Below are 27,051 nucleotides of genomic sequence, written 5' to 3' on the forward strand. Positions count from 1 at the left end.
CGTTAATCCTTTCCCTGTTTTCCCTGAAAATACACACTGGCAGCACTTGCAGCTGCAGCATTTACCCTGAGATAAGTGTACCACAAAATATCTCACTTTTATTATTTTTGGATTGCTCTCGAATATTGACTTTAGAAACAAAAGACATCATTCTATTTACAGCATTCTGTTTTTTAGTAGTGGTATTTCTGTTTGCAAAATATAGTAATTCTCAATTGATGAAAATGTCAAATCCTATAAAACAGCATTTCTATATGTGATATTAACACCATTCTTGAGCAGTTGTTACCCAAAGATTCATTTGAATCCAATTTTCCAAAAAATCAGAATCCATTAGACAATTCTGATGATTCAAACAATTCTGATGTTAGTTCTGTTTAGAAATAACACCAATAACAGTTTTTATATTTTATTTTCACATTGAAAATTGGTCAGATTTGCTTTAGCTTCATAGAGCATGTTTATGTAAAATTAAATGCGCACAGGCAGCAAGCTGCACGTTTTTTCTAAATAGGAAAAGAGTTCAGTTTTAATTTTTATCATATTGATACAGATATGACAATACATTCTTGGAGAAAAAATTAAGAACAGTATTAAATAAATAATTGAATGGTAAAATAATTAAAATACCTTGAGTGATAAATATACAGTATTGGTCATTTAAAATACTGTAGCCAATAAACAAGTGTCAGAATGTGAGAGAAAGTATTTTACAGTAGTTGGGTAACAGACTCTTGATACAGGTTGACTGTAATCAGATGTCAGCTCAACAGCTTTTGCTGTGACTTTGGTAATATACTTGAACTTTTTGTGTTTTAGTTTTCTCCTGTGTAAAATTAAGATAAGAATATTTGTATCTTAGACCATTATCGTAAGCATTTAATAAGTTAGTGTATGTAAAGTAATAAAATACTAATTGTCACATAGTAACTTCCATTTAAATTTTCTTTGTTATGTATCATATTTTCTGACACTCTGTCCTCAGAAATCTTTGTTCTAAAAATATCGTAAATACTACAGATTCAATTAAATTAGAAAATGTACCATGCCACACTTGAAGAAAGTTGAGTATAATGCAAGTATTCTATAGTTTTCCTTTTTTGAAAAATGAATCACTACAATATATTTTAATGACATTTTCACTTTAAATATAGAATAATTACCTATATCTGTTATGCTGTTTTTTTCTGTATTAGTATCTGACAAATATTAACATATATGGTTTGCCTCACGTAAACATGTGGTGTGCATAAAAAAACTATAAAAGTAAGAAAAATTAAATCATATCCTATAATCTCTTGCATTTATTGAATGTCTCTGAAGAACTCTGGCATACTAGCTCTTATGTAACTAAATTATTTCTTGTGCTTAATCTTGCTATTTCCACTGCTTGTCAATTATCTTTTCTATTTTAATCCATTTAACATCTCTTAGCTTTTCTTTTGTTTTTCTTTTTCAAATTTACCTATTACAACATTAACTTAGCTTTCAACAGAATAGCTTGTTATTGACCACCATATAACACTAAAACTTGTTTTAGTAACTACTTTGTACCTAAACATTTTTAATACAGTAATTTCCCTAAGCTCCACTTTTACTTTAGACTGCCTCCAGCTACATTTTCATCTCCATATTAGGTTATTCTTGCATCCCTTTAAAGAAATACCTGAGGCTGGGTAATTTATAAAGAAAAAGGCTTAATTTACTCACAGTTCTTCAGGCAATACAGGAAGCATGATGCTGGCATCTGCTTGGCTTCCAGGGAGATGTCAGGCAACTTACAATTATAATGAAAGCAAATGCAAGTGAGGTGTCTCACATGGTGAGAGCAGAAGCACGGGTCGGGGGAGGTGCCACACACTGTTAAACAACCAGATCTCATGAGAACTCAACATCACTGAGGACACCTCCAAGTGGCATGCTCTTAAATCATGAGAACTTCCCCCATGATCCAATCACCTCCCACCCAACCCCACCTTTAACACTGGAGGGTACAATTGAACATAAATTTTTGGTGGGCACACACAGCTGAACCACATCCTTCTTCCCCTTGCTCCTTCCACATCTCATGTCCTTTCACATTGCAAAATACAATCATGTCTTTCTAGCAATCTCCCCCAAAGCCTTAACTCATTACAGCAATAACTCAAAAGTCCGAAGTCCAAAGTCTCATCTGAGACAATGCTACTCTCTTAAGCTTATAAAGTCAAAATTCTTTTAAAAAAATCTAGTTACTTCCAAGATACAGTGGGAGTATAGGCATTGGGTAAATACTCTCATTCCAAAGGGGAGAAATCAGCCAAAAGGAACAAGCTACAGGCTCACGCAAGTCCAAAATCCAGCTGGGCAGTCATTAAATCCTAAAGCTACAATATAATCACCTTTGACTTCATGTCCCAAATCCAGGGCACACCAATGCAAGAGGTAGGCTCCCAAAGGCTTGGGCAGCTCTAGTCCTGTGATTTTTCAGGGTTCAGCCACCACAGCTGCTCTCCCAGGCTGGCATTGAGTGTCTGTGGCTTTTCCAGGCACAGGATGTATGTTAGTCCACTCTTGCTTTTCTATAAAGAATTATCTGAGACTTGGTCATTTATAAGGAAAGAGGCTTTATTAGATTGTGGTTCTGTAGGCTGTTCAGAAAGCATGGTGGCATCAGCTTCTGGGGAGGCCTCAGAGTACTTAAAATCATAGCAAAATGTGAAGAGGAAGCAGACACATCTGTCTGGAGCCGCAGGAAAAGAGAGAGGGAGGAGGTGCTACACAGTTTTAAAGAAAGACCTCATGGGAATTTTATCACAAAAACAGCACTAGGGGGATGGTACTAAATCATTCATGAGAAACTGCCCCTGTGATCCAATCACCTCCCACCAGGCCCCACCTCCAACACTGGGGATTATAACTGAACATTAGATTTGGATGGGGACACAGATTCAAACCATATCAATCTTCTTCTACTGCACTTCCATCTAATCTTAAATCTACTATTTTGCCTCATACATGTTTCCTTGACTTTTAAAGACAGTACTTGAAATTTGTTTCTTTGACTTTTATGGATGCTGGTTAAAATTTACTTCTGTGTAGTATATGTTGTTTCAACAGATGATATTATTTATTTTTTGTATGTATGTCTTACTTCCTCTGTGCCACAAAAAGTCACCTTGTTCCTTTTTCTTAATTTTTTTTTTGCATCTATATTTTTCTCTTTACCATTAAAGAATTGGGAGTTCTCTTTTAGTCTGATATTTCAGAAATAAATACTTCAGAAATAAGGTTTTTTTTAAGAATTTTCTATTTTGAACTGGTATGTGTTTACAGACCATTTTTAGGGCCAACTATAAAACTTGTTAACAATGTAATCACTGAGCTGGTTATTTGTCTATAGGCACTTAGCTCTGCTCTAACCTTTTGTGATTTCCCTTCCCTGCAGGAAGCTGGAAGCCTAAAAACTTTATTTCCACTGATCCTTTACCATCTTGATTATTTAGCTTCTGCCATGGGGAAGTAATAATGAATTGGAAGGTGGGAGTAAGAAAGGAGTCCTTTATTCTCTGCATATTGTGGTGCCTCTGGAAGGGGGCCGATGGAGACTGAAATATCTCTGATGGTTTCAGTGTTTCTGAATGTACACTGACTGAGCTCTTCCAGTGCAATCAGAAGTAGCCCATGTATTCCACAATGTACTCATCATTCCTACCATTATAATCAAGCAAAATAGCCCATTTCAGCCTCACATACTTGCCTTTAATTTAATCCAGTTGATGTACAGTTTTGCATTTGCTGACATGAAACAGAAATAGCCCATTATTCACTGGCAAAAAAGTCACAACTTTCAGATGACAAATAGATTAACAAACTCACATTCCAATCCTTGAAAGCCTATTTCTGAGTTTGCTTCTTTAACAAATACCAAAGCAGCCAAAGTTTAGTTGGGAAATGAAAGCCTCTCTGGTGATATCAAACAGACAGGAATAGAAATAAATAAATTGATGGCAGAGAGTTCTAGAGAGTTAAAGGAAGGGGTTTTCTGGAGAAGTGACTGGAGATTATGAAGGGGATGGTGAGCAGCCATTGGAGAGTGTTACGGTCACTTGCCTTAGTCCATAAGGTCACACTTACCTCCAACAAGCTGAGGGTGATGTCACTGCCTTTTCTTCTGTTGCTATTGCTGCTTCATATGAACTAAGCTTGCCCTCTCTGCTCCAGATGCTGTTGACACAACCACTGACTCTGCTGAAGCCACTGTAACAGTCTCTGTGTAGGCAACACATGAAGCAGCAAAAATGGCTTTTTCCTTCCTCTTGCCAGTGCACTCATTGTAAAAGCTGTCTCCTGGTAAACTGCCCTGAAAGTCTGTCCTTTGGAGTTAACAAAAATATACTTTGCAGGCTTTTAGTCCCTTAGAAATATAGAGGAAAGCATGGAATGACAATAGGAACTAAGAGACAAAAATAAATAAATAAATATTATGCAGAGAAGAGTTTGCATGATTTAGCACTTTGACAATCCTGGTAGGCAAAATTCATCTTTGCATAGATTATCCTATTTGGGACAAATGTACTGAATTAACTTCTAAACCCAGTGTTAATATGCCTCTTTCCAGAGAAGGAAGAGCCTTGATTCTTAAGATCATTTGTTGACTAAAATAATCATTAAGACAGCAAAGAACTTTACTGCCAAGTAAAAACTTTCTCTGGGGCTACTACTATCTCCACCAAAAGCTGCGTATATTAAGTACAACTACACAGTCATCTGAATTCTCAGGTCCTATCCAGATTATTAAACATTTCCTGCGTCAAAGAAGACTCTCAAAAACTGCTCCCTGCTACTACAGGCTTTCTGTTGGGAACAGGAAGATGTCACTACTAGACCTGTACACTACTACAGGCTTTCTGTCAGGAAATCTTGAGTAATGACATTACCATTGCTATGACATCTGCTAATCTGTAGTAACGAAAGGCGTTCTAGTTAAAATACTTGTTTGGAATCTCACGGCCTGTCCCTGTCAGCCGTTTTCCTGTCAAGGCAATTCATGGGATATAGGCTCTCTTCTGGTTTATTTGGGAGGAAAGACATGTTCTTATTTCAAAGGAAAGTTTTGAGATGTAGGCTGGTGGGTCCTTTAATTTCAATCTATTTCTGCTGTGTGTAGTAGAAAACACAGAAGTCTGAACTAAGATGGTTCTTTTGCCTTGCTTTCAATTCTAATGAACAGTTTTCCCAGTTTTATATTTCCTGTGCCATTCAGGTGGAAAAAAAAGATACATCAGTTTTCTATTGCTGCTCTAACAAATTACCACAAACTTAGTTGCTTAAGTGATACAAATGTATTCGTCTGACATTTCTGTGGGTTGGAGGGCCAAGGGATTCACTGAACTAAAATCAAAGTGTCTGAAGAACTGTATTCCTTTCAGGAAGTTTTAGAGGAGAATCTATTTTCTTGTCAGCTGCTAGAATCTGCCCTCACTTTCTGGTTCATGGGTCTTTTGCCCCATCTTCAAAGATGCCAAATGCAGGTCAGCTCCTCCTATCACATCACTTTTACTCCTCTCTCTCTCTCTCTATCTCACCATACCTGAGAAGGTTTCCATGCTTTTAAGGACTCACGTGATTATATTGGCCCACCACAATAATCTCCTCTCAAGGTCCAGGATGCCAATCAGATTTGTAAAGTCTCTTTGGCCACAGAAGATACCATATTCACAAATCTCAGGAATTAGGGCATGGATATTTTGGGGGAGCCATTATTCTGCCTATTACAAAAGAGTATTATTTCTTAATCCTACTATCTTTTCCTCTTTCCTTCCTTTCTTCCTTTCTTCTGTCCTTCCTTCTAGAATGACATTTTCACTACAACTTCCTAATATATTGCAAAGAATTTGAGTATAAAAATCTGTCTTAATTTTGTATAACCCCAGGACCTAGCACAGTGTCTTGGCAGTGAAATATAGTGAAAATAACGATCCCTAATTTATCTTAAAATATCTTTCTTACACCTACTCAGGGCTGGCGATTGTGCAATGTAGTAAAGACAGAAAAGTAAGCAAAGTAGAAATGTTTGTGGATCTTGGGGAATAGAGATAGTAAACACATACTTTTAAGTGTCAGAGTGCAAGAGAGCGAGCACCACCTAACTGCTAAATAGCCTCTCTAATTTTCTCCTTCACAAAATAAAAATAACCCAATAATATCTACCTTCAGTTTTTTTGCGTGAAGAATAAAGAGGCTAAAATATCACAAAATACTTTACAAACTATAATGTCCTGTATTGACCAAACAAAAAAAGTGTTATCACTTGTGAAAGCACCAAATGTTACTTCAATTGTTGAATTAAATTTTCACTAAAACTCAAGAGACTGCCATGCTAGTCTGTAATGGGCAAATATTTTAAATTTATACCAAAATGGAAGCACTGCCTTTACTGCAATCTTTTGATTTAGTCTTTAAATAATAGTCATTAATCTCCTCTATGCTGATGTGATTTAGAAGGCAGTGTGTTCATTTTTCCCACCTAGCATTTAGATTAATGCCATTCTGGCATTTCTTTGTGCAGGGTAATTCAAGGGACAGCCATACCGCAGAGATGGTTATTTTATATTGCTCTGTCCAGATTACTTTATCTACTTGTAGGTACTAGAGTCCAATCATTCCTGCTTAGAAAAATTGAGGAAGGGGCAAGATTTATTTTCTCAAGTATTTTTCTAAGAATCTAATACACATACATAAAACACTGCACTAAATGTTGGTAATACGAATATACATACAATCATGTCCCTCCTCTTAACTTGTTCACTGTTTACTATAAAATATATAAAGTAAACTGATTGTCCTAAAGAATGTGAAGAGTCCTATGAAAACAACAGTAAGTCTATTTTATGTATAATAGGTTTTCAAGATTTTGTAATTTCTTCCAACACCCTGGAAAATTAGTGCAATTTTCATGCCCAATAGAAAATCTTGAAAAAAAAAAATGGCACCATTTCCTCTTCCCTGGGCAACAGATCTGAAAAAAAAAAAAAAAAAAGTACATGGGAAGTTTTGCATCCCTCTCTTTCACCTGCTAGAAGAGACTCACAGGACTCAGAAGGAAAACAGCAATAAGAAAAGAAAATTTGAGCAGGGAAGAAGTAAGGTAAGGATGTGAAGAAAAAAGAGACCCAGCAATCGTTCTCAATCGAATAGCAATTTCAGTTTCTATTGCAGGTCCTTATGAAAAGCAATGAATTTTAGTATTTAGGAGTCCATTTCTGTTCGTTCTAGGTCAACTTTTTTAAGAGAGGGAGAATTCTTGCATTCATTTTCCAATTTAACTTACAGATTTTATAATGACATCTGAAAAGTGTTAATAATTATTAGAAAGATTAACCTCTTTTTTTTAACTTAAACATTGGTTTTCTCTACTGGACACTTATGCTTTTATTAAATATTTCTAAATATAATTCTCCCTGGCTATTTTGAGAATATTGTTTAAGTAACATTGAAATTTAACTAGAATTCCTAAAAGTATGCTAATGCTTTTCTTCAAGCAGTTCCAATTCCAAATGGAGTGCAGAAAACGTTAGGTGGTAATGGGAGGTGAAGGGATAGTCCACGAGTGATCACACCACACATGTTTTAACTGTCAAAGTCTATAGCTCGCCAAACTGAAATACTCATGAAATTCTTCTGTAAAGTATCAAGTACCATACTAACATTGCAGCTCTTTTTCAGTCCTAACTAAAATGCAATAGATTAAAGACAGACTACATACACTTAAGTGACATTTTTAATGCAGAAAGTTTGCCTGTTTTGACTATTTTTACCAACCAAGGTTGATACTTTGAGCCACTTTAGATCTTGGCTTTGCATTGATGATATGTAAGTGATACAAATCCTTTCACTGTAAGAAAATTTTAATTATTTCTAATTAAATATATTAAATGTATTTATATTTATTATATTGTACTTACTTCTATAATGAGATCACTAACTTTTCTTGTTTTCTGAGAAAATATTGAAACTTCAGCTTTAAATTTTTGCTTGATAATCTTAGACAAGTTCCTTAACTTCTCTTCTTTTCAGTCTCCAATCTGAAAAATAGAATCCAGTATATCCATTTCACAGGGTGATAGAAAATGTATAGAACATTAAAGATTGCCTGGCATAGTATATTTATCTACTTCTAAAAATCATCACAAGGCACCTCATTAATTTATATCTGTATAATGGAAAATTTACAGAGTTATTGCTTTGTAGATATTTTAAATTATTTTATCTTAAACTTGTCTTAATTCTTATGAAAGAATAAATTTTACTTGATGTTTAGTAATTACATTACTAGACTAAAAAACAAAAGCCATAATATTTCAATAGACCACAGCTGGCGTAGGTCTACACCATCACAGAACTACACGCATTTAGGGTTAATTATTTTCATCTTCTGTTAGCTTCTGTCAGGATCTCTAATAACAGGTTATTCTACTACTCTTTCACTAGAAAAAATAAACTGGAAAGGACACAAAATAGAGTAAAAACAATTCTGGTTTGTATTTAGATGACCAGTTTAGGATCACTCCTTTATAGTTATTAGATCTATGGCACTGAGCAATCATTATCCTTATGTCTTTTTTCAGGGATTTTTCAACAGTCTGTTGAGGAAGCCAAAGGACCTTCCTAGTCATTTATCATGCATTGATGTTACTTTCATCTGTGAACATATGGACTCGGTTACTTTCATTAGAAAAACAAAATTGCAGTGTTTAAACTGTTGTATTCCTACAAGACAATTTCTTACAAAGGAATGAACACATACAAAATATTTTTCAGTCTTTATGTCTTAAAGTATAACATGAGAATGTATTTTATGCATTATTCTTAATATGCATGGTAGAGAATAGAAGCAGCTCTGTTTTTCAGTGCCCTAAATAAGAAAGAAAAAGTTAAAATTATATTTTAATTTCTTTACATATAAGCATATTGGGCAACAAAAGGGAAGGCAGCCCAACCTCAGGACAAGAAACATTGACAGGTTTTTGTACATGAAATGAGATTGATGGACAATTTTGTCTGCCACTTTTAAGACAAAAAAAAAATTTTAATCTTAAAAATTATTAAATTTTGTCCAGACATTTGAAATAATTCAGATAGAACCTTCACCACCAGAAAGTTAAGAAACCAGTGTTTGTAATATTTCTTGAAAAATATTATCTGGATAAAAATGGAAGGACTTTGTATTCTCTTTGAAGCTCATGAATTTAAATTTCACATATTTCATTTACTGACTTAAAATTAATTTATTAACTACTTTGTGGCCTGGAAAGAAGACAGACATTTCCCATGATTTGGGTAAAAAATTTCCTAAAACATGAAATGTGCGATGATAAAATATTAACTGAAAAATACTTAAGTAGAATCAAATAAATGTTTCACAAGTTTCAATGTTATATATGAACAAAATTATCCTTAAAAATCCTGCAAGTCACCCTGAAACCGATTTTGAACATTTTGTATATCCATACAATTATTATTTTGTATGTACAATCTGTCTTTATATATGTATAAATGTATTATTTGCATGAGTTAATTTTATACATATTACATTTTATACCCACACAGCCTCATGAGTCTATTGTTATTAGTTTCATTTAATCAATAAGGCTAAGCTGCAATGGCAACTGGACCAAGGTTACCAAGTAGAAAGTTGCAGAATCAGTCTATTAAATAAATAATTACTAAGGGGGAAAAAATCCATATCTTTATAATCCACACTGGGCAAATCAAATGTTACTGATTTAATTTAAAATATCTAAGTCAGTATTACAACAGTGAATGAAACATTCTCTCTCTCTCTCTTTCCATGCCCTAAAAAGACAAAAATACAAATTATATTCACCTCAAAGAAATTTTTTTTAAAAAAATGCCTTGCTTTAAGGGATTAAAAACAAAGAATAATAAAATCTCATTGAATAATGGAAGGTATGGAATACAGCTATCATATACCCAGAAGTAAGGGTGCCTCCTTTCTCTAAACAAGAGAATCTAGAAGCCCTTATTTTTATATTTGATTGGCCAATGCTAAAAGACTTAGTTCCGAGGTTCTCAAAGTGTGGTCCGGGAACCAGCACATCAGCATCACCTGGAAACTCATTAGAAATGTCAGTACTCTGGCTCCTCCCCAAACCTACTGAATCAAAAACTCTGAGCGTAGGGCCCACTAGTCTGGTTTAACAAGCCATTCAGGTGAGTTTTATATACTAAAGTGTTTGAGAACCTTTGGCTTACTGAGACTATGTGTTTTATTTTCTCCCCTCAGGTGTGGATGAAACGAGGCTTCACCCCTGAGTCTGCAACCTTAGACAAGTTTCTCCACAATGCTACTCTGAGATCAAGATCTCAACTGTACATCCTGGAGACAACACAACAACACAAGGGAATAAAATCTTATACAACTGTCAGAGGTATTGTGGAGTTCAAATTAGATGATATACAATGACACCAAGGAAAATACATTGTGAAATTTGACGAGATTCTGAACTCAAAAAGAGATGCTGCTCTATTCATTTCAAAACAACTCATAATAAAAGTGTTCCGCCGGGCGCGGTCGCTTATGCCTGTAATTCCAACACTTTGGGAGGCCGAGGCGGGCGGATCACGAGGTCAGGAGACCGAGACCATCCTGGCTAACGCGGTAAAACCCCGTCTCTACTAAAAAAATACAAAAAAATTAGTGGGGCGTGGTGGCAGGAGCCTGTAGTCCCAGCTGAGGCTGAGGCAGGAGAATGGCGTGAACCCGGGAGGCGGAGCTTGCAGTGAGCCGAGATCGCGCCACTGCACTCCAGCCTGGTCGACAGGGCGAGACTCCGTCTCAAAAAAAAAAAAAAAAAAAAAAAACAGTTTTCCAACTTAGCGTTTCCGGCATTAACTAATCACACCTCAATCTCACTTTTATTTTTGCTCTTCTTGTTTTTTTCAACTGGCACCTGGAGCAGGTCAGTCACATTCCTCATTTTTCAGGGACACCTTCGATGCCAGATTCTTTTTGCCTTCCGGTAAGATTTTTTTTTTAGTATCTTGGCCATTTAGGGGGAGGGAGGATAAGAAATAAAGGGACAGTATTAGAGCGTTAATAAATTGTTTTTTGTAAATACGTTTTAGGATGTTCACATGTAGTGCTTCTTCAAGATTTCTAAAAGTATCTACGTTATGGCTTCACTCTATCATTGTAAGCCTTACTAGGATTCCTGAATTTTGACATATATTTATTTTTTCTTCTGACTCAAGCTTTGAATGACAAGAATACTGTCATGTTTTCTATATTTTCCACAAGATAGATAGAATAAAATACCCATCAACTCTCTTTACACATAGACTTTTTAATAAATTGTTTAAACTATTCACATCTCCAATGGCTAATTTGGGATGATACAGAAATGCACATGTTTTTAAATATATATCAAGAGCATATTAAACAATTCCACAGCACAGATGAATAATATTGTTACCAGTGAAATTCATGCTGTATCCTAAAACAAATAGCCAATATTTGACATAATAAAGCAAATATCCTTTTACCTTTACTATCAGTTTGGGGGCTGTTAAATTATTGGGGAAGTGGCAGGTAAAATTTTCTTTTTATCTTTTCTGAAAATAAAATAATTTGGTAATGTTCCAGGTCAGTATACAAAGAGTTTTCTAATTTATGTATAAATTTTTAAAATAAAGTATAATAGAGCAAAAAGCTCACTAGCATTTAGAACTGTCCTGATAACAGAATGACAGGGCCTGGGCTTGAATTTTGTGTAAAAAGATTGTAGGTGCCAAATCATCTCCATTTCTCATATCATGATTAATTCTCCAGAGAATTATAGCAGGTACACAAATTAGAAGAGCTCTTTGAATCTTACTTTCAAATTTGAAAAAGAAAATGTGTATTGTTTTGCAACATAGCTTTTGAATTAATGTTTTTAATTTATATTATTATTCTGACCTAATATTTAGGTATTATATATTTGAAATAAAAAGAGAGGCCACCATCATATTAAGCATGACATGAAGTACCTGGCATATTCTGAGTTATGTGTACAGGTAATTAGTTCTAACTCAAGGTAATGTTCTCATAAATAGGGAACAAATATTACCAAATTCATTAATTAGTCATGCTTATACTTCTGTCATTTGGAATAATGTGTTTGCTTGAACTAAGGTTTCCTATTTATTAGAGTCATTAATGACTGTCAGTAAGATACAGTGCTCTAACATTTCACCAATATTTGAGAAACGCACAGGTATTGCATTTTTTTAACAGGGGACTAGTCTCATTTTATATCTGTATGGAATGACAACCACAGTATTAAATTCCCTTGGCCTATTTCTGCTACTTTCCTTTATTTCATTCATCCTACTGTTTCCTTTATTTCATTCATCCTCTACCATTTTTATTCTTATAACACGTATATCATTGTATCATAATTACTTGTTTGCATTTCTGCCTTCCTCCACTAAAGCACATGAATCATTCTGCTTCTCATAAGCATCCTCATTTATTGTTTAATGAATTTAAACATTCACTTATACACATATATTTCAATAAAACTTTCAAATAAACTATTTTAACTAAATTAAAATATTTTAGCTGTTAATATACGTATGCAATCATTCTTCTGTGAATATATGCAACATACATTACTTTGCATTATATATCTAAACACAAACACAAGGACTATTGTATTAGTCCTTTTTCATGCTACTGATATAGACATACCCAAGACTGGGTAATTTATAAAGAAAAAGAGGTTTAAAGGAATCACAGTTCCATGTGGCTGGGGAGGCCTCACAATCATGTTGGAAGGTGAAAGGCACATCTTACATGGCAGCAGCCAAGAGAGAATGAAAGCCAACTGAAAAGGGAACAAGAATAAAAATATATATCCATGCTAATGGGAGGTTGCTTATAAGACAATGTCTGACATATATGATTTATTACAAGTTATTGATTCCAATATTTTTAAAAATCTACCACAACACATTATCAACAAAATAAAATCACACAAAATCCTGTTAAATATTTTGTTATGATATTTTATGCAACTTTTTAAAGCATATATTATTTCACCTAACTAAAATGTATATGAATAATATTTCTACATTTTCATAATGAACTAAGGCAGCATTTCCCAAAGAGTGTTTCAGAAAATACGTCTTTAGAGATGTTCTTTTTTTTTTTATTATACTTTAAGTTTTAGGGTACATAAAAATGAATTAATGTTATATAGATTAAAAATAAGCATATGAAAATGTTCTCAACAACATAAGTCATCAGGGAATTGCAAATTAAAACAACGAGATACCACTACGTACATATTAGAATGAATATAATAAAAAAAAACTAAATTCAAATTGCTGACAAAGATGCAGAACAAGAATTCTCACTCATGCTGGTGAGAATATAAAATGGCACAGCCACTTTGGAAGACCACTTGGCTATTTCATACAAAAACAACACTTTTCCTATACAACGTAGCGATCATGCTACTAGATATTCATCCAGCCAAATTGGGAATGTATGACCACATAAAAACCTATATGTTAATGTTTATAGTGACTTTATTCATAGTCAGCAAAAATGGGAAACAATCAAAATGTCTTTCCATAGATGAACAGGTAAACTTGACACATTCATATAATGGAATATTATTCAGCAATTTAAAAAATGAGCTCTCAAGCCATGAAAAGGCATGAATAACTTTTTTTTTTTTTTTTTTTTTACTTAAAGTTCTGGGATACATGTGCAGAACGTGCATGTTTGTTACATAGGTATATGTGTGCCATGGTGGTTTGCTACACATATTAACCCATAACCTAGGTTTTAACCCACACATGCATTAGCTATTTATCCTTATGTTCTCCCTCCCCTAACCACCCCCACAGACAGGCCAGAGTGTGTGTTGTTTCCCTCCCTGCATCCATGTGTTCTCATTGTTCAACACCCACTTATGAGTGAGAAAATGCAGTGTTTGGCTTTCTGTTCCTGTGTTAGTTTGCTGAGGGTGATGGCTTCCAGCTTCATTCAAGTCCCTGCAAAGGACATGATCTCATTCCTTTTATGGTTGCATAGTATTCCATGGTGTATATGTACCACATTTTCTTTATCTAGTCTGTCACTGATGGTCATTTGAGTTAGTTCCATGTCTTTGCTATTGTGAATAGTGCTGCTATAAACATACATCTGTATATATCTTTATAATAGAATGATTTTTATTCTTTTGGGTATATTACCCAGTAATGAGATTGCTGGGTCAAATGGTATTTCTGGTTCTAGATCATTGAGGAATTGCCACACTGTCTTCCACAATGGTTGAACTAATTTACTTTCCCACCAACAGTGTAAAAGCTTTACTATTTCTCCACAGCCATGCGAGCAGCTGTCCTTTATTGACTTTTTAATAATCACCATTCTGACTGACATGAGATGGTACCTCATTGTGATTTTAATTTGCATTTCTCTTAAAGATCAGTTAAGCTTTTTTCAGCCACATAAATGTCTTCTTTTGAGAAATGTCTGTTCAAGCCCTTTGCCCACTTTTTGATAGTGTTGTTTGTTTTTTTCTTGTAAATTTGTTTAAGTTCCTTGTAAATTCTGGATATTAGATCTTTGGCAAATGGGTAGAATGCAAAAATTTTCTCCCAATCTGTAGGTTGCCTGTTCACCCTGATGATAGTGTTTTGTTGTTGTTGTTGTTTGTTTTTTGTTGTTTGTTTCTGTGCAGAAGCTCTTTAGTATAATTAGATCCCATTTGTCAATTTTAGCTTTTGTTGCAATTGCTTTTGATAATTTCATCATAAAATATTTGCCCATGCCTATGTCCAGAATGGTACTGCCTAGTTTTGCTTCTAGGGTTTTTATGGTTTTGGATTTCACATTTACGTCTTTAATCCATCTTGAGTTAATTTTGTATAAGGTATAAAGAAAGGGTCCAGTTTCAGTTTTCTGCATATGGCTAGCCAGTTTTCCCAGCACCATTTATTAAATAGGGAATCATTTCCCCATTGCTTGTTTCTGTCAGGTTTGTCAAAGATCAGATGCTTGTAGATGTGTAGTCTTATTTCTGACGTCTCTGTTCTGTTCCATTGGTCTATATGTCTCTTTTGGTACAAGTACCATGCTGTTTTGGTTACTGTAGCCTTGTAGGATGGTTTGAAGCCAGGTAGCGTAATATCTCCAGCTTTGTTCTTTTTGCTTAGGATTATGTCAGCTATGCAGGCTCTTTTTTGTTTCCATATGAATTTGAAAGTATGTTTTTCTAATTCTATGAAGAATGTTGGTGGTAGTTTAATGGGAATAGGACTGAATCTATAAATTACTTTGGGCAGTATGTCCATTTCACAATATTGATTCTTTCTATCTGTGAGGATGGAATGTTTCTTCATTTGTTTGTGTCCTCTCTTATTTCCTTAAGGAATGGTTTGTAGTTCTACTTTAAGAAGTCCTTAACATCCCTTGTTAAGCTGTATTCCTAGGCATTTTATTCTCTTTGTAGCAACTGTGAATGGGAGTTCATTCATTATTTGGTTCTTTGCTCGTCTATTGTTGGTGTATAGGAAGGCTCATGATTTTGGCACATTGATTTTGTATCCTAAGACTATGCTGAAGTTGCTTATCAGCTTAAGGAGATTTTGGGCTGAGACGATGGGGCTTTCTAAATATACAATCATGTTATCTGCAAACGGTGACAATTTGACTTCCTCCTTTCCTATTTGAATACCTTTATTTCTTTCTCTTACCTGATTGCCCTGGCCAGAACTTCCAATATTATGTTGAACAGCAGTGCTGAGAGACGACATCTTTGTCTTGTGCCAGTTTTCAAAAGGAATGCTTCCAGCTTTTGCCCATTCGGTATGATATTGGCTGTGGGTTTGTCATAAATACCTCTAATTGTTTTGAGATATGTGCCATCAATACTTAGTTTATTGAGAGTTTTTAACATAAAGGGATGTTGAATTTTATTGAAGGCATTTTCTGCATCTATGGAGATAATCATGTGGTTTTTGTCATTGGTTCTGTTTATGTGATAGATTACATTTATTGATTTGCATAGGTTGAACCAGCCTTGCATCCCAGATATGAAGCTGACTTATATCATGGTGGATAACCTTTCTGATGTGTTGCTATATTTGGTTTCCCAGTATTTTATTGAGGACTTTAGCATTGATGTTCATTAGGGATATTGGCCTGATGTTTTCTTTTTTTGTTGTGTCTCTACCAGGTTTTGGTATCAGGATGATGCTGGCCTCATAAAATGAGTTAGAGAGGAGTCCCTCCCTTTAAATTGTTTAGATTATTTTTTGAAGGAATGGTACCAGCTCCTCTTTGTACTTCTAGTAGAATTTGGCTGTGAATCATCTGGTCCTGGGCTTTTCTTTGGTTGGTAGGTTATTTATCACTGCCTCAATTTCAGAGCTTGTTATTGTTCTATTCAAGGATTTGACTTTTTTCTTGTTTATTCCTGGGAGGGTGTATGTGTTCAGGAATTTATTCATTTCTTCTAAATTTCTAGTTTATTTGCAAGAGGTGTTTACAATATTCTCTGATGGTAGTTTGTATTTCTGTGGGGTCAGTGATAATATCCCCTTTATTATTTTTGATTCTATTTGATTCTTCTCTCTTTGTCTAGCTAGAGGTCTATTTTATTATTTTTTCAAAAAAAATCAGCTCCTGGATTCATTAATTTTTTTGGAGGACTTTTCATGTCTCAATCTCCTTCAGTTCCGTTCTGATCTTAGTTATTTCTCATTTTAATTTCCAAAACATCATTTTGACAAGGTGAGAACTATTTTCTAGGCTTCACTGCCCACTAAGAACGAAAGAGAACTAGATAACCCACCATATTCACCAACAGTAACATTCTCCTCAGTTGATTTCTGGTTGTTTCTTCTACTTTTCTTTTTCACCTTTTATTTTAGGTTCAGGGTTATATGTGCAGGGTATATATATGTTACATGGGTAAATTATGTGTCATGAGAATTTGGTGTACAGATTATTCCATCATCCAGGGAATGAGTATACTACCTAATAGGTAGTTTTTTAATCCTCACCCTGCTACCTCCCTCCACCTTCAAATAGACCCTGGTATCTATTATTTCCTTCTTTGTATCTATGTGTATTCAATGTTTAGCTTCAACTTATAAGACAGAACATATGGTATTTGATTTTCTTTTCTTGCGTTAATTTGCTTAGGATAATGGCCTCCAATTCCATACATGTTCTGCAAAAAACACATTATTATTCTTTTATGATTGTATGCTATTCCATGGTGTTTATGTACCATAATTTCTTTATCCAGTCTACCATTGATGGGCATTTAGGTTGGTATTATGTATTTTTGCTATTGTGAATAGTACTATAATGAATATAAGCATGCATTTGTCTTTATGGTATAACAATTTATATTCCTTTGGCTATATATCCAATAATAGGATGGCTGGGTTGAACGGTAATTCTGTTTAAGGTTCTTTGAGAAATCTCCAGATGGTTTTCCACAGTCTCTGAACTAATTTACATTCTCACTAGCAGGGTATAAGTATTCCTGACTCTCTGCATCCTCACCAGCCTCTGTTATTTTTTGACTTTTTAATAATAGCCATTCTGACTGGCATGAGATGCTTTTGATTTCTATTTCTCTAATGATTAGTGATGTTGAGCACTTTTGATATGCTTGTTGGTAATGCACATGTCTTTTTTTGAGAAGTGTCTGTTCACATCCCTTGCCTATTTTTAATGAGGTTGTTTGATTTTGTTTGCTTATTTAAGTTTTTTCTATATTGTAAATATTAAATCTTTGCTGGGTGCAAAGTTTGCAAATATTTTATTTTATTCTATAGTTTGTCTGTTTATCTGTCAATAGTGTTTTTTGCTATACAGAAGGTCTTTAGTTTAATTAGGTCCTACTTGTCAATATTTGTTGTTGTCATTATCGCAATTGCTTTAGGGATCTTTGCCATGAAATCTTTGCCAGGGCCTATGTCCAGAATGGTATTTCCTAGCTTTTCTTCTAGGATTTTTATAGTTTTAGGCTTTATATTTAAGTCTTTAATCTATCTTGAGTTGATTTTTGTATATGGTAAAATGTAGGGGTCCAGTTTTAATCTTTGGCATATGTAGCTAGCCAGTTATCCTAGCACCCTTTATTGAATGGAGAGTTCTTTCTTCATTGCTTGACATTGTCTACTTAGTCAAAGTTCATAGGGTTGTAAGCGTGCAGCTTTATTTCTGCTCTTCTGTCATCAAGAGCTCTACCAGTGATCTTCATCAGGAACACTTGGTTCAGTGTTTTAGAATCACTTGACAGTGATTCTAAAATAACACAAGATAATGCTAAGCTACAGAAACCACATGTATATATACATTGTGACGTAAATTACACACCTTACCTTTATTGCCGAAGTAGTTTGCTTCAGTTATCTATTTTAGGTAATCTGAGCAAAATTACAATGTGAAATGTAAAATAACAAATAGAAAAAATAGCTTTGCAGCACTTAAATTAATGAGCATTATGAAAATAAATAATTGTATTGAGTGATATAACAGTCTCAGACATTTTATATTTCTGATTCAGCTTAATATTTATCACAAATGACTTAAGGAAATTGCTGTGACCTCCAATGTAGAAAAAAGAAAACTGAGGCCCAGATAAGTTTTCACTTGTAGTAAAATTAAATCTTTTGTATTTAAACATAAGAAAGTTTCATTGCTTAATCAGTAAAAATATACACATCTAATGATTTCAGTTATTTAATATAGCCACACCTAAAATTATATTCAATCAATGTGAAATTTATAAGTAAATGTACTCTTTTATTTGACCTAGAGTGTTTATGCCATCTATTATGTTAACAACTTTAAATTATCCAATTAAATTGTAATATTAAGTGCTTAGTGGTATACAAAATAATAAAGGCAATTTCTTCTTTATTGTGTGGGCATTCTAGTGGAAATTTGTTTATGTTTCACAATGTTTGCATAGGCAATAATGCCGCTTTGCAAATTATGAGCTTGTGTTTTAAATGAGAACATTATTTTAATTATAGAATATCTTACATGGAATATAAAGGCTAGCAATGTAATTTTATTTTAATGATCTCGATTTAAAGAAATGCAGCTATCATTTTCTTAATGCTAGTAGGAGCATCATTGTGCTTCCTAACACAAAAGCATTCACATTTGAATTCAAAAGCATTTTTAAAAATTTTCTGCTTCTTTCCCTGTAGACAAAAGAAAACTATTGGAGCGGTAGTAAGAGAGATCAAACCCAACACTTTACAGAGAATGAACAATTATCTGTCTCATTTGACCAATCCCTCAAATTTAGCTTTGTACATGGTCATAAAAATCAAGAGTCTACTCAATTTCAGTGAGAGGCTAAACCTTTCTGTCTACCAGAGTAAGATCCTGTTCTAGTTTTCACAATAGCTAAAATTACACCACTGGAAATGCTTTGAAAAAAGTAAAATCATCTCTTTTATAAATGACATGCTTTTGCAATGTTGTACAGTATTTTCACTAGCATTTTGACTTAAATGAACTTAATATATTACTTTGTGCTCTTACACAAGTGACTTAGATCAATATGAAGTTGCCTTGAGCACAAGGGAAGTGGAAATGGAGAGAAAGAAAAGGTCTGCACTGGATGAGATTCTTTTTCACTGACTGAAATCAAAATTGGAATACCTTAAGCAAAAAGGGAAATGACTTACAAAGGTAATGAGGTGTCTCATAAACTACCAGGAAATCAATATAGCTGGGCCTTAGGATTTAATACCAAGCCCAGTTCCCCATCTTCCACATTTCCTATTCTCTAGGCATTTGTTTTATGCTCTCTGAAGACCCACAATGTGGTTCACATGGCAGAAAACTTGACAGCAGAGAGCATCTAGTTTAATATCTTATATAAATAGTTTAAACAGCTTCAGCTTCCAGAAAGACTACAAGATTTTATCTCTATCTCAAGGCTTATATTTTTAGGAGATCACTGTGGCTTCATCTTGAGTATAGAACCTAACTGTGATCAGTTGCACATATATTTAGTTCTAGTGCAAGACTCATGCGTTCTTCCAGTCGTGAGGATTATAGAATCACAGAATATAAGATCTAGGTTTATGTAAGGTCCTATAATCCAGTCCTTTCATTTTACTTATAAACAAACTGAAGTTTAGAAAGCAAAGTCAACTTTTTCAAGAGAAGCAGCAGAGACACTGCTTATGCCCCAGTGTCATCAAGAGCTAAACTTATTCTGGGTACATATATAAATTGTCAGAACACAATGGATACTATATTCTTTCAGTGACCACCGCTCCCCCCAAAATTATTTATCTTAATTTACATAAATTTCAAAACTAATTCAAGTCCAACGGCGCATAAAGGAGAAAAAAATTCAAAATTAATAAACACATAAATTTTAAACTATATAAAATATAAAAGAAAAAAGGCAAAATTCCCTATTAATACACTTCTCTCCCAGAGGCAATCAGTGCTAATAATATCCACTTTGCAATCCCTAATTATGTTCTATACATCATTTGTGTGTATGTGTACACATCTGTGTGAGCTCACTTATGTAAATATGTATCAATACAATTTTCAGCATAAATTGCCTTAAATGGATAAATGATCATGAGACTCGCTGTTCTTACTTAACATCTTTACATTCATTGCATATATGTTTACTTTTTTAACAGCTACATGACATTGCAATAGTATCTACCTACTATAATTTATTAACTGTCTATTTACTGAGAGATATTTAGGTTGCCTCCAAAATTTTATATGATAAACAATAACGAAGACTGGTAGCACCTCTGTGCTCCCTGGGACCGAGCTCTGTCCCAGGTGAAAGGCCCTCTGCCATTGCCTCTTTCAAAATCCCTTCACCTGGTGCCCCCACTTGTAGCAGGAAGGCCCACAGCTCTACAGCTGCTACTCCTATTGTGCTCAGGATTAGGAGCAAGAAAAAACTCTAAGGACGAACTCAGGCCTCCAGTACAGCACAGCTGCCTTATGGAAAAGCAGCCAGACTGTTTTTCAGGCAGTTTCCTGCCCCTGTTACTCTTCACTGAGCAGGGCCTCTCAACCTGGCCCCCCAGCACAGCCTCCCTGCCCCAAACTGAACACTTTAGTTGGTGACAGGCCTGTGTTTCTGTGGGGAGAAAATCCCAGAGACAACCCCTCTCTTTACAGTCCATCTCCTATTACAGCTCCAGTGGTACCACCCTTATGGTCCTAGGCCTAAGGAAGAAAGAAAAAGGGCCTGATTGTGTGGCTGGCATCTTCAGCATGCTGCAAGCACCATACAGAGATGAGCCCAGCCTCTCTTCTCTGTGAACCTCCACCCTCTACTGCTCAAAATGGAGGGCCCCTGGCTCAGGATCACAAAGCAGATGCCCCACCCCCAACTCCAACTGATCATTCCCACTGGTGGTGGCTCTGTTTCCCTGGAGTGCAGCTCCCAGTGGCAACTGATAGCCTCTCTGCCATTGCCACCACAGTTGTTTTTCCCTTGTTGTCCTCATATTGGGAAATAAGCAGCGTAGGGCTTTATTTGTGCCTCGAGCATGCCAAAGTTGCCATATGGAGAGGAGCCCAATCTCTCTTCTCTGTGAGCCCCTGACACCCTGCTGGTGGCGCATGCCTGTAACCCCAGCTACTTGGGAGATTGAGGCAGGAGAATCGCTCGAACCCAGGAGGCGGAAGTTGCAGTGAATTGAGATCATGCCATTGCCCTCCAGCCTGGGCAACAAGAGCGAAATTCTGTCTAAAAAAAAAAAAAATCCAGAAACTAACCCAAATGACTACACTCAAATAACACCACAGTAATAGGAACACCAGCCCACACAGATGAGAAAGAACCAGGGCAAGAACTCTCACAACTCATGAAGACAGAGTGTCTTCTTACCTCCAAATGGCTGCACTAGTTCCTAGGCAATGGCTCTTAACTAGACCCAAATGGCCAAAATGACAGAAATAGAATTCAGAATATAGATAGGAATGAAGATCATTGACGTTCAGAAGAAAGTCAAAACCTAGTCCAAGAAATCTGAGTACAATAAAATGATACAGGAGATGAAAGATAAAATGGCCATATTAAGAAAGAAACAAACTAATCCGATAGAGCTGAAAAACTAACTTCAGGAATTTCATAATACAATCGCAAATATTAACAGTAGAATTGACCAAGCTGGGAAAAGAATCTCAGAGCTTAAAGACCGGTTCTCTGAAATAACTCAATCAGACAAAAATAATTATAAAAAAAAAGAGGAACAAAACCTCTGAGAAATATGGAATTATGTAAAGAGACCAAATCTGTGACTCATTGGTGTTCCCGAAAGACAGAAAGAGAAAGCAAGCAACTTGGAAAACATATTTGAGGCTATCATTCAAGAAAATTGGCCAACTTCACTAGAGAGGCCAACGTGCAAATTCAGGAAATGCAGAGAACTTCTGCAAGATACTGTACACATAGGCATCAGATTCTCCAAGATCAAGATAAAAGAAAAATGTTAAAGACAGCTAGAGAGAAGGGACAAGTCGCTTACAAAGGTAACTGTCCCAGGCTAACAACAGAAGTTTCACGAGAAACTCTACAAGCCAGAAGAGATTAGGGGCCTATATTTAGCATCCTTAAAGAAAATAAATTCCAACCCAAAATTTCACATCCACCCAAACTAAGCTTCGTAAGTGAAGAAGAAATAGGATCCTTTTAAGACAAGCAACTGCTAAGGGAATTTGTTACCACCAGACCTGCCTTACAAGAGGTCCTTAAGGAGGTGCTAAAAATGAAAAGGAAAGATCATTATCTACCACCACAAAAACACACTTAACCCTTTTCTTATTTATAAAAAAAGGTGCCAGCTCACTGCCAGCTCTCATTTAATTTTACATAAACACATTCTTTGAGGCTGAAGCAAATATAACTAATTTTCAATGTGAAAATAAAATACAAAAACTGTTCTTAGATAAACATAACTATATCAGAATTGTCTTAATCATCAGAATCATCTATTTTGGAAAAATCAAATTCATCAACTAAATCTTCAGCCAATAACTGTTCAAAAATGATGTTAACACATGTAGGAATGCTACGTTTTCTAGGATTTGACATTTTCAGTGATTGAGAATTACTATATTTTGTAAATGAAAATGCTACTAAAAACAGAAGGCTATAAATAAAATGTCTTTTGTTTCCAAAGTTGATATATTAGAGTGATAAAATAATAATAATAAAAGCAAGATATTTTGTGGCAAAATTATCTCTGGGTAAACACTGCAGCCATAAGTGCTGCCAGCAAGTATTCTCAGGGAAAATGTGAAAAGGGTTGAGTACATAGACCATTAACATTACAATGCAACTACACAATCAAGCTGACATTAATAACCAGCTAACAGCACAATGATAGGATCAAAGCCATACATATCAATATTAACCTTGAATGTAAATAGCCTAATTGCCCCCAATTCAAGGGCACAGAGTGTCAAGATGAAAGAAGCAAGACCCAACAGTATGCTATCCTCAAAAGACCCATCTCACATGCAAAGACACCCATAGGCTCAAAATAAAGGGATTAAAAAATCTATCAAGCAAATGGAAAGCTGAAAGTAGCATGTCTTAATGTCTGTCTAATTTCAGACATTACAGTGTTTAAACCAATAGTAATCAAAAAAGACAAGGCCATTACAGAATGGTAAAGTGTTTAATTCAACAAGAAGACTTAACTATCCTAAATATATATGAACCCAACACAGGAGCACCCAGATTCATAAAGCAAGTTCTTAGAGACCTACAAAGAGACAGATAACCACACAATAACAGTGGGAAAGTTCAACACCTTACTAATAGTATTAGATAGACCATTGAGTCAGAAAGCTGACAGATATTTGGAACCTGAATTCAACATTTGACCAAATGAACCTAACAGACATCTACAGAACTCTTCACCCAAAACCAGTAGAATATGTGTTCTTCTCATTTGTGCATGACATATACTCTAAAATTAACTACATAGTTATAAAACTATTCTCAGCAAATTTTTAAAAAGAAAATCATATTAAAAACATTCAGATCATAGCACAATGAACATATACATTAATACTAAGAAAATTGCTCAAAACTACAAAATTACATGGAAATTAAACAACTTGCTCCTGAAAGACTTTTGGTTAAATAATAAAATTAATGCAGAAATCAAGAAATTCTTTGAAACTAATAAGAATAAACATACAACATACCAGAATCTCTGGGACACATCCAAAGCAGTGTTAAGAGGCAAATGTATAGTACTAAATGCTCACATCAAAAATTAGAAAGACTTCAAATTAACAACATAACATCACACCTAGAGGAACTTGAAACACAAGAGCAAGCAAACCCAAAAGCCAGCAGAACAAAGGGAATCATCTAAATCCAAGTTGAACTGAAGGAAATTGAGGTGCAAGAAATCATACAAAAGATCAATGAATCCAGGGATTGCTACTTTGAAGGAATAAATAAGATAGACATACCACTAGCTAGACTAACAAAGAAAAATAAGAATATCCAAATAAAAATCAGAAATGATGACAGGGGCATTACCACTGACCACAGAGAAATGTAAAAAGCACTCAGAGATCATTATAAACAACTCTATACACAAAAACTGGAAAACATAGAGGAAATAGACAAATCCCTGGAAACATACAACCTCCAAAGATTAAAGCAGGAAGAAATTGAATCTCTGAAGGGACCAATGATGAATTCCAAAATTGAATTATTAAAAAAAAGTCTGCCAATCAGAAAAAGTCCAGGAACTGATGACTTCACAGTCAAATTATAGCAGGTGTATAAAGAAAACCTGGTATCATTCCTACTGAAACTATTCCAAAAAATTGATGAGAAAGAATTTCTCCCTAACTCATTCTATGAGTTCAGCATCATCCTGATACCAAAACCTGGCAAAGACAAAACAAATAAAGAAAACTTCAGGCCAATATCTTTGATTAACATAGATGCAAAAATTATCAACAAAATACTATTAAACAAAATCTATCAGCATATTAAAATGAACCCACAGGATCAAGTAGTCTTTATCCCTTGGAAGCAAGGTTAATTCAACATATTTAAATCAATAAACGTTATTCATCACATAAATATAACTAAATAAAACCACATATGATCATCTCAATAGACACAGAAAGGCTTTCAATAAAATTCAACATCCCTTCATGTGAAAAACTCTCAACAGACAGGGCATCAAAGGAACATGGCTCATAACAATAAAAGCCATCTATGTCAAGCACACAGCACACATCCTACTGAATGGACAAAATCTGGAAGCATTCTCCCTGAGAACCAGAACAAAATAAGGATGCCCTCTCTCACCACTCCTATACAACGTAGTACTTGAATTTCTAGCCAGAGCAATTGGGTAAGAAAAAGAAATAAAACTCATCCAAATAGGAAGAGAGGAAGTCAAATTATCTCTGCTTGTAGATTACATGATTCGATAGTAGAAAAACCCATTATCTCTTCTCAAAAGTTCCTAGATCTAAAAAAACAACCAGCCAAGTTTTGGGATACAAAATCAATGTAAAAAATAGTAGCATTTCTATAAAACAATGTCAAAGCAGATAGTCAAGTCACGAACATAATCCCTCTCACAGTAGCCACAAAATAAATAGAATACCTAGGAATACAGCTAACCAGAGAGGTGAATATTCTCTAAAATGGGAATTACAAAACACTGCTCAAATAACTCAGATATGACACAAACAAATGGAAAAAAATTCATGCTCAGGAATAAAAATAATCAATATTGTTAAAATGGCCATACTGCTCAAAGCACTTTACAGATTCAATGCTATTCCTATCAAACTACCAATGACATGCTTCACACAATTATAAACTTTAAAAAAATTTGTGTGGAACAAAAAAGAGCCTGAATAGCTAAAACAATCCTAGACAAAGAAAACAAATCTAGAGGCATCACACTACCCAACTTCAAACTATACTACAAGGCTAAACTAACTTAAGCAGTATGGTACTGATATTAAAAAAAAAACAAACAGATATGTAGACCAATAGAACAGAATAGAGAGCCCAGAAATACAGCTACACACAACCATCTGATCTCTGATCTTTGACAAAGTCAACGAAAAGAAGAAATGAAGAAAGGATTCCATATTTAGTAAATGGTGCTGGGATAACTGTATATCCATATGCAGTAAATTGAAACTAGACCCTTTCCTTATACCATTTGCAACAATCAACTAAAGATGGATGAAAGACTTAAATGTAAAACCAAAAACTATAAAAATCTTAAAAGAAAACCTAGGAAATACCATTCTGGACATAGGCCCTGACAAAGATTTTATGGTGAAGACTCCAAAAGTGAGTGTAACAAAATCAAAAATTGACAAATGGGACCTAATTAAACTAAATACCTGCACAGCAAAAGACCCTATCAATAGAGTAAACAGACAACCTACAGAATGAGAGAAAATGTTTGCAAACTATGCATCACACAAAGGTCTAATATCCAGAATCTATAAAGAAATTAAATAAATAAGCAAAAAACAACTCAGTAAGTGGGTACAATAAATGAACAGACATTTTTCAAAAGAAGACATACACGTGGCAAACAGGTATATTTTTAAATGTTCAGCATCACTAATCACTAGAGAAATGCATTTCAAAACCGCAATGAGATACCACTCCACATCAATCAGAAAGACTATCAATAAAAAATGAAAATAAAAATATATTGGTGAGGTTGCAGAGAAAGGAAACTCTAATAGGCAGCTTTTGGCAGTGTAAGTTAAATCAACCACTGTGGAAAGCTGTCTGGAGATTTCTTAAAAAACCTTAAACAGAATTACCATTCAACCCAGCTATCCCATTATTAGGTAAATACCCAAAGGAATATAAATTGATCTATTATAAGTACACATGCATGCCTATGTTCATCATATCACTATTCACAATAGCAAAAATATGGACTCGACCTAAATGCCCATAAATATTAGACTGGCAAACAAGGGATAGTATATATACA

At 34.7% G+C, this 27,051-nt stretch overlaps 2 long non-coding RNA genes across 4 annotated transcripts in view; one reads left to right on the forward strand and one right to left on the reverse strand.

Moving 5' to 3' along the window:
• LOC105374194 (uncharacterized) overlaps positions 1-10,335 on the forward strand; it is a 33,142-nt gene extending 22,807 nt beyond the window's left edge. Inside the window, exon 3 of the long non-coding RNA NR_135545.1 lies at positions 10,289-10,335. This is a non-coding gene — a long non-coding RNA (uncharacterized LOC105374194). The remainder of the gene's footprint in view (positions 1-10,288) is intronic.
• Positions 1-27,051, reverse strand: part of LOC105374193 (uncharacterized) — a 75,141-nt gene that overhangs the window by 21,911 nt on the left and 26,179 nt on the right. The window contains exons 6-8 of one of the 3 annotated variants that reach the window (XR_007096289.1): positions 7,947-8,066; positions 4,117-4,251; positions 2,973-3,945 (exon numbers count right to left, since the gene is read on the reverse strand). This is a non-coding gene — a long non-coding RNA (uncharacterized LOC105374193). Of the gene's footprint in view, positions 1-2,972; positions 3,946-4,116; positions 4,397-7,946; positions 8,067-27,051 lie in introns of those variants that run through there. The other 2 variants (XR_924675.3, XR_924674.3) reach the window with 2 other exon arrangements.

Source organism: Homo sapiens, chromosome 3 (genome assembly GCF_000001405.40).
Source record: "Homo sapiens chromosome 3, GRCh38.p14 Primary Assembly".
Classification (NCBI taxonomy): domain Eukaryota; kingdom Metazoa; phylum Chordata; class Mammalia; order Primates; family Hominidae; genus Homo; species Homo sapiens.